Source organism: Homo sapiens, chromosome 5 (assembly GCF_000001405.40).
Source record: "Homo sapiens chromosome 5, GRCh38.p14 Primary Assembly".
Taxonomy (NCBI): domain Eukaryota; kingdom Metazoa; phylum Chordata; class Mammalia; order Primates; family Hominidae; genus Homo; species Homo sapiens.
This window is the reverse complement of record NC_000005.10, coordinates 77162129-77176242: the sequence shown is the minus strand read 5'-3', so window position 1 is coordinate 77176242 and position 14114 is coordinate 77162129. Positions and strand designations below refer to the sequence as shown.

The window sequence follows — 14114 nt, the reverse complement described above, 5'->3', positions numbered from 1 at the left end:
GCCTACGGTGCTGCGTGTCTAGTTGTTTGGAATACGAGTGGGAGTGAGGTGGCTTTCGCGTGGCTGGTGGCTAGTCGGTTTCTGGTCACCCTGGACGTGCAGTGGAATCTACCTGCTTCCGATGTATAACTCAACAAGCAAAGATATGGGAAAAGAAGAAAATAGTTTTCTAAGAGGACACAAATAGAAGCCCGACCACTCAGGGCTGGAAGAGCAGCAGTTATCTACTGATAACCCCATTCTGGTTTCACTGATGAGGTTAAAACAAATGGGATGCACCATTTAGGTTCCCTTGAACAGGTTTCCAGTCTTTCTTCTTCAAAGATTGAAGATGTTGATGATGCTAACAAGCTAACATATATATGTATGTGCGTATCTATATATATAGATATACACACATTTATATACATGCATATATATAAATCGGTGGTGAGGTATTTTATCACAGAGGCAAATTTATGCAATTATATATTCATTCATTCACTCAACAAATATTTTTGAGCAACTACTATATGCCAAGAATTATTTTAGGTGCTGAGGATAGATCTGTAAGATAAATTTGTAAGATGAATCCATACTTGTCATGATGCTTACATTCTAGTGGAGGAAGAGAGACAATTAACAAGAAAAGAAAATGATCATTGTATCATGATCTGAAGATAATAAAACAACTTACTGTAATAGAGAGAAGCTGAGGCAGAGTCCACTTTAGTTTGGGAAGTCTGAGAAGGCTTCCCTGGGAGGGGATGTTTAAACTGGCACATGAATCATCCCAAGGGAGCTGGGAATGCAAAGATCTGGGGAGAATAGGATTCCAGGGAAGGGAATTGCAAATGCAAAATCCTTAAGGCAGGAAAAAGCTTGGTGAGTTCAAGGAAGTGACAACAGTCCAGGCCAGGGAGGAGGCCTTGGGAGAATTTTAAGCAGAGAAGAAACACAATATAATTTGCTTTCTGAAAATCCCTCTGGTCCCTGTGTGGAGAATCAATTCTAGGGATGAAGGGTGGAAACTGCTAGGGCAGGAGGATGTCAGAGCCATCCACATAAGAGATGGGGGTTACTAGGCAGAAGGCAGGGGAGATGGATAGAGAGGGTCAGGTTCAGGATGCATGAATTTTGAATGCAAGGTTGACAGGACCTGTGATGGGTTGGATGTGGGGAGCGGAGTAAGGAGAAGGAAAAAAACAAGATAACCCTTAGGTTTTTGACCTGAGCTAATGGGTGGGCAGTAGTACCATTCTCTGAGACATGGGACAGGATCAGGAAGAGAATGGGTGGGAAATCAAGAGTTCTGCTTGGGCCTTGTGAAATAAGAATCTCTATTAGAGTGAAGATGTCAAAGAGGCAGCTGGATCTATGTGTGAGCTCAGTAGACAGGTCAGGGCTAGAGCCATAAATTTGAGAGTCATTAGTGTATAGATGCTACTGTGAGCTGTGGGGTTGGATGAGGTCACCTAAGGTGGTGGGGAGGAGGGTGCCATCAGAAAGGAGAAGAGGGTGGAGAACCATACTCTGGGTCTGCCAACTCTTCAAGGTCACGCAGCGGAGGAGATACCAGCAGAGCCCAGGGAGCTGAGGCCCATGCGATAGGAGGAAAACCTGCTCAGAGAGAATGAAGCTGTTTCAACGACTTGTTCACTGACACGAAGAGCTAGAAAACGGAGAGCTCCTGAAAGATTTGACACAAGGAATAGTCATGGAGATGTGTACAGTATAAATAAAAAGCTGGTGGTTGAGGGAAGCATATAGTGAAGACCAGTGGAGGAGAGAGAGATAATTAATAACAATAATAACCCAGAAAGAGCTGATGAGAGCAGTGGCTTTGGGGATGGAAAAAAAAGGAAAGAATAGGAAAGGCATTCAGGAATACACTAGGACTTGGTAAGGGATCATATACATGGATGTGAGTGGGTGACTGACTCAGTGGCTGTGAGTGGGGATGCTGGTACCTCCCATAAAAACAGAGACAGGGTGGGCAAGAACAAACACTGAGAGGGAGAAGTTTTGAGTGTGTTGACACCCAGGAAGGATACCTAATAGGTAAGAAGAAACACAGGTCTACATGTGAAGGGAAGTATTTGGGTGACAGCTAAAAATTCATGCAGCATCAATATATAGGTAAGAGAGGAAGCTCTGAGAAGGAGACCTGCAGACCAAGCTTCAAAACAGACTACTGACCTTCAAGGGCTGAACAGAGAGTAGGACAAAGGAGACTTAAGCAGATGGCCAGAAGGTAAGAGAATCAGCTCTCAGGCCAGTGGTTGGTCCCAGCATAACTTCTTCCAGGCCAAGGACAGAGTGTGCTAATAGTAAAGAAATTCATCAAAAGTCAAAATGCCTTAAAGACTGCAAATGGAGAGTTATTCCCTAACAGAAGTAATGTTCTCATAGAAAATAAAACGCATGCCACGCACCACCACCCCCGCCCCAGACACACATACACTTAACTCCGCTACACTTTCTAGAGCTAGAAGCATTTTTCTTTCCTTTGAAAAATGAGATGGGGGGAGAAAGGGAGTAAATTAAAAAGCACTTCAATTTCCCAAATGTAACTAACAATTAAAATGTATTTTCAGCAAATTCTCACAACTCTAGTAGGCTTCACATTAAAAAAAGAGGGCAATATAGATAAATTAGGAAATATTCGCCCTTCCATTTTGACTCACTTGCTATTCTTTATCTTCCCTTCTGTTTCTTCTCCCCAAATTGCTTTTTCCTCCCATTACCAGTCATAATCCTCAAGTTAAATACATGAATATCCTGATTAACAAAACCTCTGAGAATGAAGCAATTTTGTAACAAAATTGCCAATATTTAAAAATCAGCCAACAACCACCTTCTTAAGTCAGATGAATCAGTGTTAATATAGACCATGCAGATCAGTAACTTTCTGAGATCTTGTACCCAACAGTTGCTAGAGGCCAAAAAAGCCAAACAAGCACACATAAACCTCCTCACATACTTTCCATTTGTTTGCAAAGAGTTGAAGATAAATAGTACTAATCCTCCAAAATATTCAGCAGTCAGATTTGTCTACAAGATCTCCAGCCTCTATTCCTGTACCTGTCATCTCCTCCTTCCAACCCAGACACCCACTTTGTGCTCTTCTGACCTCTTGTTCTCTTTCTCTGCCAAAAACTCTGGAGGAAGGAGCATACCCTCCAAGTGTGTTCACTGATTGGCTGATGGTACCACCTCTACATGCATTCACTGATTAGCTGATGAGACTCTACCCTATATATGTGTTTATTGGCTGGGTTATGGCACTCTGGTGTAACATGCATCCAAATCAAAGAAATATGCATTACAAACCATTTGCTTACATACTGTTTGGGTGATGATGGTGGAGGGGTGAATGGCTGGTGGAGGGATGGAAGCCAGAAACAAGTAAACAAGTGGAAAAGTCCTTCCATGCTCAACTTACCTACTCCGACACCCACTGCCTGTCCCAGGTTTCCTGTTGCTCCCTCAGCAGCCTGTGCTCCCCCTAGTCAGCACTGGTACTGGTATTTCCTAATGTCTTATCTTTAGTTCCAACCAGACTAAGCTCCTTGAAGGCTGAGGCTGTTTCTGTCTTATTTCTGAATTTCCAAATACAAAATCAGCACTCAATAAATTTTCACTGGATAAATAAATGGATGAATTAATTGAGGTTGGGATATAAGTGTTCTAATGTTGCTCTTTTAAGTGACTAGTTATGATTGAGGGACAGACTGTCCTTTATCTCTCCATCACCATCAGATGTTCTTTGTTCCCTGAGAAGTGCTTAGAAGCTTTGGCATAAAAGTTACTAGAAGCAGAATTAACAAACACCGTCATTGTCTGCTTCTCCTAGGTGCAAGCATGTTAGCTCCTTACCCCAACTTTGACTTATCCTGTCCCAAGACTCCCAATTGCATATTTTATGTTGTTTGGTGCTCTTGATGTTTCATCAGTCAGGTTATTCAGACAAATGTTTATTGTGGGCCTACTAAAGTTCAGGCACAGTGCTGGCCACTGAGGAGTCAACAATGAACAAACCCAGCCCAGTCCCTGAGTTTGCCAAGCTTGCAATCTAGTTGAGTTATTATTTTATGAATTTTCCCAGTCAGAGGCTTCTTCCCCATCCACGCATTCATCTATCCATCCAATCGACTCCCTTTCTTTTTTTAATAAATAAATTGCTGAGAAAAAGTTGGGTGTTTAGAATATACTTGTCAAATGAAGGCTGACTGTAGTTTGGGTTGTTTTGGCATCACAGAAATATTAAAGCTAGAAAGGATTGTGCTGGATAGGCTCTGTCTGCCCCTCCAGATCATCTCCATCCTTCCTCCCCTCATCCTGTGCCCTAGGAGTCTGACCTGTGGGGAATTCATCAATGGGTCCCTGGCCCTCTGGCTTCCAGTCAGTCAGGTTCAGCCAATGAAAGGCACGAGCACAGGGCTGGACCTCCATCCCTCCGCGGCAACCCAGAAGTCTTTCCAAGTTCCATTGTTGGCTTCATCCCCTGCCCCATTACCACCTGCCTAGGGAGTGGAAACAGCTTCCTGGCTCTCACCAGCCCACAGACACTGCACCATTTTTTAACCCTGCCCACACCTGTGTAAATAAGCCCTCACCTGTTTCCTGAAGGGACTTGGACACAAAACCCATCTCTTGCAACCTCCAGATGTGGAATCATAAATTCCCGAAGAAAAGGGTCAACTTTCAATCTGTGGCTTTAGAGCTGCATTGTGATTTTACTACTCCCAGCATACACAGATTGATATTTTAAAAATTTTTCTATGGGCCGGACAGAATTATGCCAGGATTAAGGTCAAGCCTGAGGTGCCAACTGAAACAAATGTACAAGGAACCAAGTGACAAATGCTTGGCATTTCAAATTCCGAGAAGCCACAGCCAGTGGAATGAAGTTCAAACTATGCTGTGAGACTGACATCCATCTATTTCAGTTCTTTCCCCAAGTCATACCCCTAAATAGGACAAAGTGCCATTTCCAAGTGACCTCAGGTTTCCCACCTGTTTTGTTCACAAACTTCCATCTGCCTGGAATACCTCCCCAATGCTTGTTTCTGTTAAGTCCAATCCCTTTCCACACTACAAGGCCTATGCAAATGAATTCGCCTTCGTAAATGATCAAGCTTTCTCCAATTATTTCCATCAGAAAATAGCTTGTTTTCCTCTAGATACTTGGAGCATTTTCTTTGTACTCATCCATATCATATACTCCTGATTCGTGTTAGAATTATTTGTGTTCAGGTATTTTTCTCACTCCCAAGTTTTGAAGAGTCCTGAGCTCAAGACAATGTCTTACATCTTTTTGTTTACCCTGATGGACTATTGTAGTGCTTCAAAAATTGAAATTCCTAACTAAATGTTTGTTGACTGACTAAATGAATGAATGAATTAGCAACCAAAGTTATTTTTTTCTTGGGACAGTGATATAATTTCTTCTGAGTCTCAGAAGACCAAACCATATTTCACATATTTATCTAGAAATAGCAAATTCGTAAAAGCAAATGGCACTATATTTGAGGAGAAATATTTTCAGATTGTTTCCATATGTGTTTCTATATATATCGGCTTATGCAATATTTTAAATCAAATTTAACACCATGTGGCCATGTATCTCCTAGAAACTCATAACGATGATTTAGTTCAGAGCTTAAAACAATAACAAGAAAGTTCTTAAAGGAGATGTGTTCCTTTATCCTCAGTCCTGCTTATTCTCTAGAAGTTTCCTTTCCAGGCTTGGCTCAGATGTCACTTTCTATCTGTGACCTTCTCTGACATCCCCAGGCAGAACTGCTCCCTCTCCCGAGTTTTCCTTGCCCTCTGTGTAGACTTTTGTTGTGGCTTTTATCCCACTGCTCTGTGGTTAATTACGTGTCCAGCTCCCAGTGAGACCATGAGCTCCTTAAGAGAAGGGACCCAGTCTTGTTCACTTTTGTCTTCCCAGACTTAATATTGTACCTGGCACAGAGTAAGCGCTCAATAAATGCAGTCTGAAAGGAATTGATCTAAGGCCAATTGTGCACTCTGGCTCCAAAAACCTAACCTATGCTTCCTTTGGTTTAAAAACCTGAGACATTTATCAGTTGGGTATGATGGAGGAAAACACATACATGCCCAAAACTGCTCTTAGGAAGCGGCATCCAGATTTCTTAGCTATAGCCATCTACTCAACAGGACCCTAGTTCAGGTCTCAGGGGTAACCTCCACATTAATCCTTTTTGCTTGCAGGTGCAGGATAGCACCTCAGCACCAATTCAGGAACATGTCTTCGTATAGCTAAAATAGGGAACTTGAGATAGAGCCGTGTTTCAAGTCAGGGAGGAGAGAAAACTACAGTGCACTGAGCATTTACTCTGCACTCAGCCCTTTGCATACCTAATCACTTTCAGCACTCACACTATCCACAGGGTCGGCACAGTTTGATTATCCCAAGCTGCAGTAGCACACCTCCAGGGCTCAGTGGAACCATTCTTCTTAGACACACTGGAGGTGTGTCTAAGACAAACTGGAGGTAGCTTCGTTGGAGTGAGTTTCAGGATGGGGATGAGGGTCAGGTGTATCTCTTAGATTACCTCAAGCCACACAGCTGCCAATCCACTGCCTTCCAGACATGCTGATCTTTCCATTCCCTGCAGCCACCAAACTCCTTTTCAACTCGGGTATTTGCACATGCTGCTGCTGCCTGCTCTGACCTCCTCTCCTACTCTCTTTCCCTGGCTACTTCCTACTTGCCATTTAGGCCAGTAGTTCTCAAAGTGTGGTCTCCAAATAGCAGCCTCAGTGTCACTTGGAACTTGGAGACACAAATTCTTGGGGTCCACCTCAGACGTTGGGGGTCAGCCCTTGAAACCTGTGTTTTAACAATCCCTCCAGGTGATTGTGATGTACGTTAAAACGTGAGAAGCACCGTTCTAGGCTTTATGTGAACTGTAGCTCTACAGAGGGGTTTCCCAGCCCCCACCTCCCAAAGCTGAACTGCGCCCCTGCTATTATGCTCTCTCATCTTATCAATAAAACACAGGTCTGACTGTGTTGGTGCTACGGGAAACACTTTGTTTCCAAAAGCAAGCAAACAAAATCAAACACAACCACCAAGGTAAATGTAGTGAAAACTCACTGACACCCATGTCTAAATATCCTGGAAGAGTTCAAGTGACAGGAGCTGGCACTGCGCCAACTCTCAGGGTGTGGCTGTCCTTGTGCTTCTTGGATTTTTTGAATCCCCAGACTCTGTTGGTTTTACTAACTCAGAAGGCCTGAGGCCTCTCTTATCAGACCTCTGCATCAGAATCCTGAATAACAAACGTCTTCTGAACTGAGTACAAGGAAGTCAAGATTTCTCTGGAGTTAGAGGCTGAAAAACATGATTGCAAAGCTGGTGAAAAGAGGCCCTACTGAAAACATGGCAGGTCTGCAGGGACGAGGTGGAGCTTCCATTTCAGAGTGGGAGGAGGGACCCATGTTAGAAATGCTGTGTCTGGACCTGAAGCCATGGGGAGTAATGGAGGGAGGCTGTTGATGGAGCTGAGGCCACTGGTCTGGCAGCAGAGGAAGGAGCTGCGGTAAAGCCCACTCTGTCACTTGCTGAACACACATGCCATTCTCTTCCCCATCACAGGCACATCCCTAAAGGCTGCTTCTGCAGAAGGGATATGACTTGCCTTCGCCCCAGCATCCCTGACTTGCCATTCCATCCAGATCCAGCTCTGCTCCTGAATCTGCCCTGCCTCAGAGGGGCAGGAGGAGTGGGGTCCCACCAGGGCACAAGTGGCAGAGCAGCCCCTGCACAGGCAGTTCTGGGTCAGGGAGCTGGAACCACGCTCCTGGTGCCAGAGCCCAGTTTCATCCCCAGACGGCAGCCGAGGCTCTGTGCCAGGGCTGCCGTGCAGCCTCGCTGCTCCCTGGCCTCCCTCCAGCCCCCGTGCCAGGAAGGAACAGCCTGACACAAGTGAAGAGCAGGCAACTGGATGCTTCCAGCTCTGACTTCTCAGGCTGCCATGCCCTGTCAGAGTGTTACTCCTTTGCCCTGTTCCATAGTTAATTTAGTAATTCAAGGGGAGAGGGGCAGGATGGAGATAGACTTAGACTCTCGTATCGTCCCTGTCTTCAAATTTAAAATATTTTCCAGGCTCAGGCACAAATTTACTTGTCATCACTTGGTTCCCAACAGAGGAAAAAATACAATGGAAAATTAGATCCTGTGTCACAGTGTCATGGGTATAAATAAAATGAAAGGCTAGCTTGACGTCAGCAGTGAGGATTCTCACATTCCACTTCACTTCCTCATCATCAAACATTTGGCTCATGTTACCCCCTTGTGTGGTGAAAGCCAGCTAGTGTAAATGGGTGGGGGCTCTGTGCTGTGGGGGCTGTGTTTCTCCCTCAAGACTCCCCAGGAGTCCTGGGCACACGGTCCCGCAGGGTGGGCCTCACTCCCTGGGCTGGGTGTTTTCTGGGTTTGAGGTGACATTCCTAGCAGATGTCACAATCCGTTCTACTCATCCCTTCAATTTCTCCAAGTCTATTTTTCCACTCAAATTTTCCTGCTCAGGAGCAGCCAGCTTGTCTTTTCACCAGACTTCCTGAGCATACATTGAGGGGACATCTCTCTTCCTGGATAGGAGAAAGGTGGATGCAGGAGGGAGCAGCCGCGTGCCCCCTTGCACAGGAAGGGGCAGGTGTGGAAGGACTCCACTGCACCCTCCGCATCGACGTGCCCTGGAAAGTGCTGTGCACATCGGCCAGGGTGTCTTGATTCATATTCTATACACAATCTAAATTTGGAACTATTTAAACAAACCCTGTGGTAAATAATTTTGTAATGCAAACACTCCCCAACAGGTTCTTTCTTTGTAAATCTAGCTATTCCTCTATTGGGTTTTTCTCAAAGTGTTAAGCACCCCTGTGGCCCAAAGCCAAAAACAGACATGGTCTGGTGTACAACCCAACACATCCTTATCATTAAGGGGCATCTGACTTCAAAGAATGGTGAGGAGTGTTGACAAGCAGGGCCACACTTATGAATACACCAATAACTGTTAATGCAATACAGGAATTAGTGCCTGCTATGACCTGGTTTAATGTCTTGGCACTTAGAGCCATGTCACAGGATCTAGGAGAGTTGTGGAGTCTCTTCCCAATTCACATGCTGCCAGGCAAACTTTCAGATGTTAAATCTTTGTTTTGAAATCACTACATTCAACAAATATTTGTCAACCCTACTTTGTGCTAGGGACCAATGTGGTGCCGGGTATACAGGAATGGAGATGATCCAACTTCTGTGGCCAACTCCGGTCCGGATAGGGAAGGATGTACTGTACCGTAGGGAAAAGAGTGGTCTTTGGGGTCCAGTAGATAAGTTTAATACAGTTCTGTCTCTTCTTGGCTGTTTGACTTTGGGCTTGTTACTCAGCCTCTCTCTGTGACAAAGTTGCCTACCTCAGAGGTTTGCGAGCTTGGTGTGGGATAACCAACATAAGGTGTTTCATAGGGTGCCTGGGCCCTGACAAGTCCTGGTAGGTGCTCAGCAGCACAGGCTCTCTTCCCGCCCTCTTCCCCCACTCCAGAGTTGCATCTGCTGCCTAGAAAAATATATAAAAATAGAAAAGAAAATGACTGTTGCATATACACACAAGGGAGTGTTCATTCTCTCACCCTACCCTACACACACTTGCACACGTGCACATGCTTTAACCTGGCCTTAGATAGGCGTCATTATTCCAGGCCACAGATCACAATGTTATTTTTAGAATGAGATTTCTAACTCTGCTTCCACTCAAGGAGAAGTATATTGGGTTGATAATGGATTGAAATGGCATTTGGTCATTTTCCTCTCTGTGTGTACTCACTGGGGCAGGATTTAGTAATGCCTAGACCTCAGGCCCTTCTCATTTTGTATCCCATTATGGTACCGAAGACAAGCCGGTGGCCTGAATTCTGGGAGACCTATTTTAGAAGATGTGTTTCTTTGACCACAGAAGGTTGTGGGGTTTTTTTTGTTGGTTTTTTTTTTTTTTTTTTTTATCTTTACCGAAAGAATCTCATGAAGAAATGTTGTTCTTCAAGAACTATGCCAGGACAGGCCCAGGGCAGAATTGTGAAGTGCAGAGAGTTTCCTTCCATCATTTCTTCTGCTTCTCCTCAACCTAAGCACTGAGCATCCAAATGCCACAGCTGGCTTCCAGAACCTTCTATGATAATGTTTTGTCTGTTCTGATATAATCCAAGCTCTTATCTTTCCTTTTTTTTTTCTTTTTCTTTTTTTTTTTTTTTTGAGGCAGTCTCACTCACGATCTCAGCTCACTGCAACCTCTGCTTCCTGGGTTCGTGATTCTTCTGCCTCAGCCTCCCAGGTAGCTGGGATTACAGGCATGCACCACCACACCTGGCTAAGTTTTGTATTTTTAGTAGAGATGGGATTTTGCCATGTTGGCCAGGCTGGTCTTGAACTCCTGGCCTCAAGTGATCCGCCCAGCTTGGCCTCCCAAAGTGCTGGGATTACAGGCATGATCCACCATGCCTAGCTAAGTTCTTATCTTTCTTAGACCTCAAAACTCTCCCTTCCTATAATCCTTCCCATATCTATCTGCTACATGGATATGGTTTAGCCCATGAGGTACAATGGAATTTTTATGCCAGTAGGGAGAAGGTTTTTCTGTTTTTTGTTTTTGTTTTTGTTTTTGTTGTTGTTGCAGTTGTTGGTTAGAGAAGCCCTATTGTCTGTCTTAGACCTATTTTAGGGCACTTACCATGCCAGGGGAAAGGATGACATAGGCAGGAGCCTTGTACGTCCGAAGAGGTTAGATGTTCCACCCACACACTCAGCATTTTCTTCTTTTCCTTTGGACCCAGTGCTATGCTGAAGCAGGCCTGTACTGGTTCATGAGAGCTGAGTGTGAAAATTTCAGGAATTTTTCAAGATGGTTGTTAGACACTGTCATTTTTAAAAATTAAATTATACAGGCAAGTAATTAAATAAATTATATTGAAAACAAGAGTAATCAATACTTAAACCCCATCACTTCCTAATTATTTTATTACGCTTTCTCTTATCAGTGCACTTGAAGAGATTTGTCTCTGAGATTTGTATGGTGAGACTGTTGTGTATGATGTGTGACTGCACATCTCTTTCCAGCTCCATGTTCAGTGACATCACGCTGGTAGCTTGAACTCAGACATGGTGGGAGCATTTACACCAGAGAATTTGGCTAACACTGTAAATCAGGGCTTTATTTACTACCCTTTCTCCTACCAAGCCAGTTAAGCATGTATCAGTATACCACTATTTTGACCTGTTGTGGGCCCAGGAGCCTGGCTTGTAGTCAGTTATGAGTGCCAATATTGAACTTCATGAATGTGGAGACAGAAATGCAGAACTTCCCCAAAGCTCTGCCTGTGCCTTCCCAGAGCTGCTTTGCCTGGGTAATTTCTGACCCCCACAAGTCACTCCTGCTGTGTCCCTTCCCCACCACAAAGATACATGTTCCCCCCAACACACATATATACAAATGCTTCCATAGACAACACCTTCTGTTCCAGGTGAATCCTGTTAACTCCAATGCAAGTCTGGGAAATCTGAGAGTCTTCCAGAGTTGGGGGTGGGTTCTGAAGCAGGGCATATGGGTTGTTTTGGATATGAAGCTAGTGTGCCTACCTTCTCTTTTCACCATTTGGTCCCATAAGGTGAGAGAAGAGTGGTTCTGTAGATCTTGACAGACATATGCTGAATGAGTTGAGTAAAGGACTGAGCAAGTAGAAGTAAACCTATAGCTTTGACCTCTGCTTTTGAAAACACTTGGCTTTTCTTTCTTCTGCAGAGTGACTGGGTCAAAAGGTATCATCCTTAAAAGAATTCTTAGTGTTTTATATTTTATAAAACCCCATCACATTTATTATCGCATACAATTTTTAGAATAACACCAAGAGATAGGTACAACACACACATTACTATCCCCATGATGAATGAAAGGAGCCCCCAATTCAGAAGCTACCTAATCTACCATTGCCCACTTGGCTAGTTTGTAAAAGAGCTAGGATAGGTTCCACAATGCCAATTGGTTTTTAAATACGCCATGCCTTACAAGGGCAGGAAGCATGTGATGCCAATTATTTTAACCTCAAGTCAACCAAGTCAACCCCTGTGCTCTTCACTCCCTCTTCTTCTTCCAAGGACTCTCACGTTAGCTTGGCACTTGATTCCATAGCATTGAGCTATTTAGAATTTCATCCTGGTCATGTGCACCATTTATTTACCAGGAAGTAAGATTAGAGGTTGGCCTTCAGTGTCCTTAACAGGGACAGCAGAGTACAAAGAAGAAGACAACAAGGCCATGGGGTCACAAGGCCACGTTTAACTGATCAGTGGGGAAAGCTAGAAATAGTGAAGAAACTCTGCTTGTAAAGAATATGGAGTTCTTAAACTGTGACTCTACATACCATCAACTCCTAAACATTTTTTATGAGACTTTACTTTGTTAATTTCTAACTAAAACACTGGATGACATGAAGCCTTATTAATTTGCTGGCCAATTGGGCAGAGACTATGAAAAGGGGGAAGGAGAGTGGCCAGCTTTTGCAAAACAGCTGCCGACCCAGTCCTTGGGCCAGACCCAAAGAACTGGGGAAAAGAAACTCCTTATTATATCCCTGTAATGAGGGTTTTTGTTTTATAAGCTGTGATGGGAAAAATTTGTACCAAACTGTTCATAGTGGTTATTTGACGGGAAATGAAGATTTTTTTAAAGTCCTACTATCACCAAAGGATTTTCAGTAGATAACCACCTTTTTTTAGTCTTCATTATACTTTCAGAAGTGCAATAATAACACCTTAAATTTATAAAGCATGTCAACCTTTGCAAAGTGTTCTTGTCTATTACTTCAACTGATATATGTGAACACCACATGTAAGAACCCTACCCTTAAATAAATGAAAGCAAAATCTTCTGAAAGACAAAAGAAATGTGGAGGGAGACATTACTCGGAGAGGGCAGGGATTACCATGCAAGCCATTTCTCCAACTCCCTCTCATCTTGTATTGCTGTGTTCCCCAAAGGTTTTCATAATTTTATTTCTGACCCTCATTTCTATCACGAAACTGAATTCAGAAGGTACTGTTTGTTCTTTCTTTTGGTGTTTATATGCCCGCCTCATGGGTAAAATCAATGGCAAATGGCTACTTTGAGAAATAAGACATAAATCATTTTAATGTCGCTTTCCCAAGAGTAAGATAAGTGCTCCCTTTTAACCTGTCTTCTATATTTGAAGTCAAGTATGTTTAGTCCTTAAGTCTGGTTAAAGCAAATATGGGAACCAATTGTTTGTTCAAATAAGTCAATTACTACTAAGAACTATTGTGAATAGTTAATAATTATTTGGGGGCCACCTACAGACTTGTACCCTGAGAAAGGCAATTTACAAATTAGATCTCTGTGATTTGCAAAAGTGGTTCATTTTCTCTCTGCCCATTGGTAAATCAGGGCCACGGATTATTAGATTGTAATGGGCTAGCTTGCCATTAGCTTTAATACCACTATTTCTGCATTCTCTCACTAAGTTAACATGATTTCAATATTAAAATGAAGAATACTCTCATTAACCCAAACATAACATCAAGATTATTTGGTCAAAAATCAACTGGTTGTATATGTGCAGGTCTATTTTGTTCCATTTATCTATATGTCTATTTTTTCCCTAGTACCACATTTATTTAATTACTGTAGCTTTATTCTAAGTCTTGAAATCAGTATGAGTGTTCCAACTCTGTTCTTCCCTTTCAATTTATTTTTTCTAGCAATTCTAGGTGCTTTTTACTTCAACATAAATTTTAAAGTCAGCTTGTCAATTTCTACAAAACAGCCTGTAGAGGTTTCGATTGGGATTGGTCAAATCTACAGATGAACTTAGGGGAAACTGATATCTCATCAATATTAAATTCAATACACGGACATGATTTATTCCTCCATTGATGTATATATTTTAATTTCTCTCAGTAGTATTTTATAAATTTTCAGTGTATAAGCCTTAGATATATTTTATTTTAATTTATCCCTAAGTAGTTTAGATTTTTAAAGATATAAATAATCATTTAAAAATTTTTATTTTCCAATTTTTTGTGGCGATAC

General features: G+C 42.9%; 1 protein-coding gene across 2 annotated transcripts in view, besides 1 other annotated feature; it reads right to left on the bottom strand.

Annotated features, from left to right (window-relative positions):
• The window catches only part of PDE8B (phosphodiesterase 8B), a 341542-nt gene that overhangs the window by 252014 nt on the left and 75414 nt on the right, over nt 1-14114 (bottom strand). The gene's annotated exons all lie outside the window — the stretch shown is intronic.
• Nucleotides 3170-3671: an enhancer, noted in NCBI's record as "H3K4me1 hESC enhancer chr5:76468397-76468898 (GRCh37/hg19 assembly coordinates)". NCBI's record gives its function as "activates a minimal SCP1, AML or CMV promoter by ChIP-STARR-seq in naive H9 embryonic stem cells {active_cell/tissue: H9 hESC(naive)}" and the evidence as "EXISTENCE:reporter gene assay evidence [ECO:0000049][PMID:30033119]".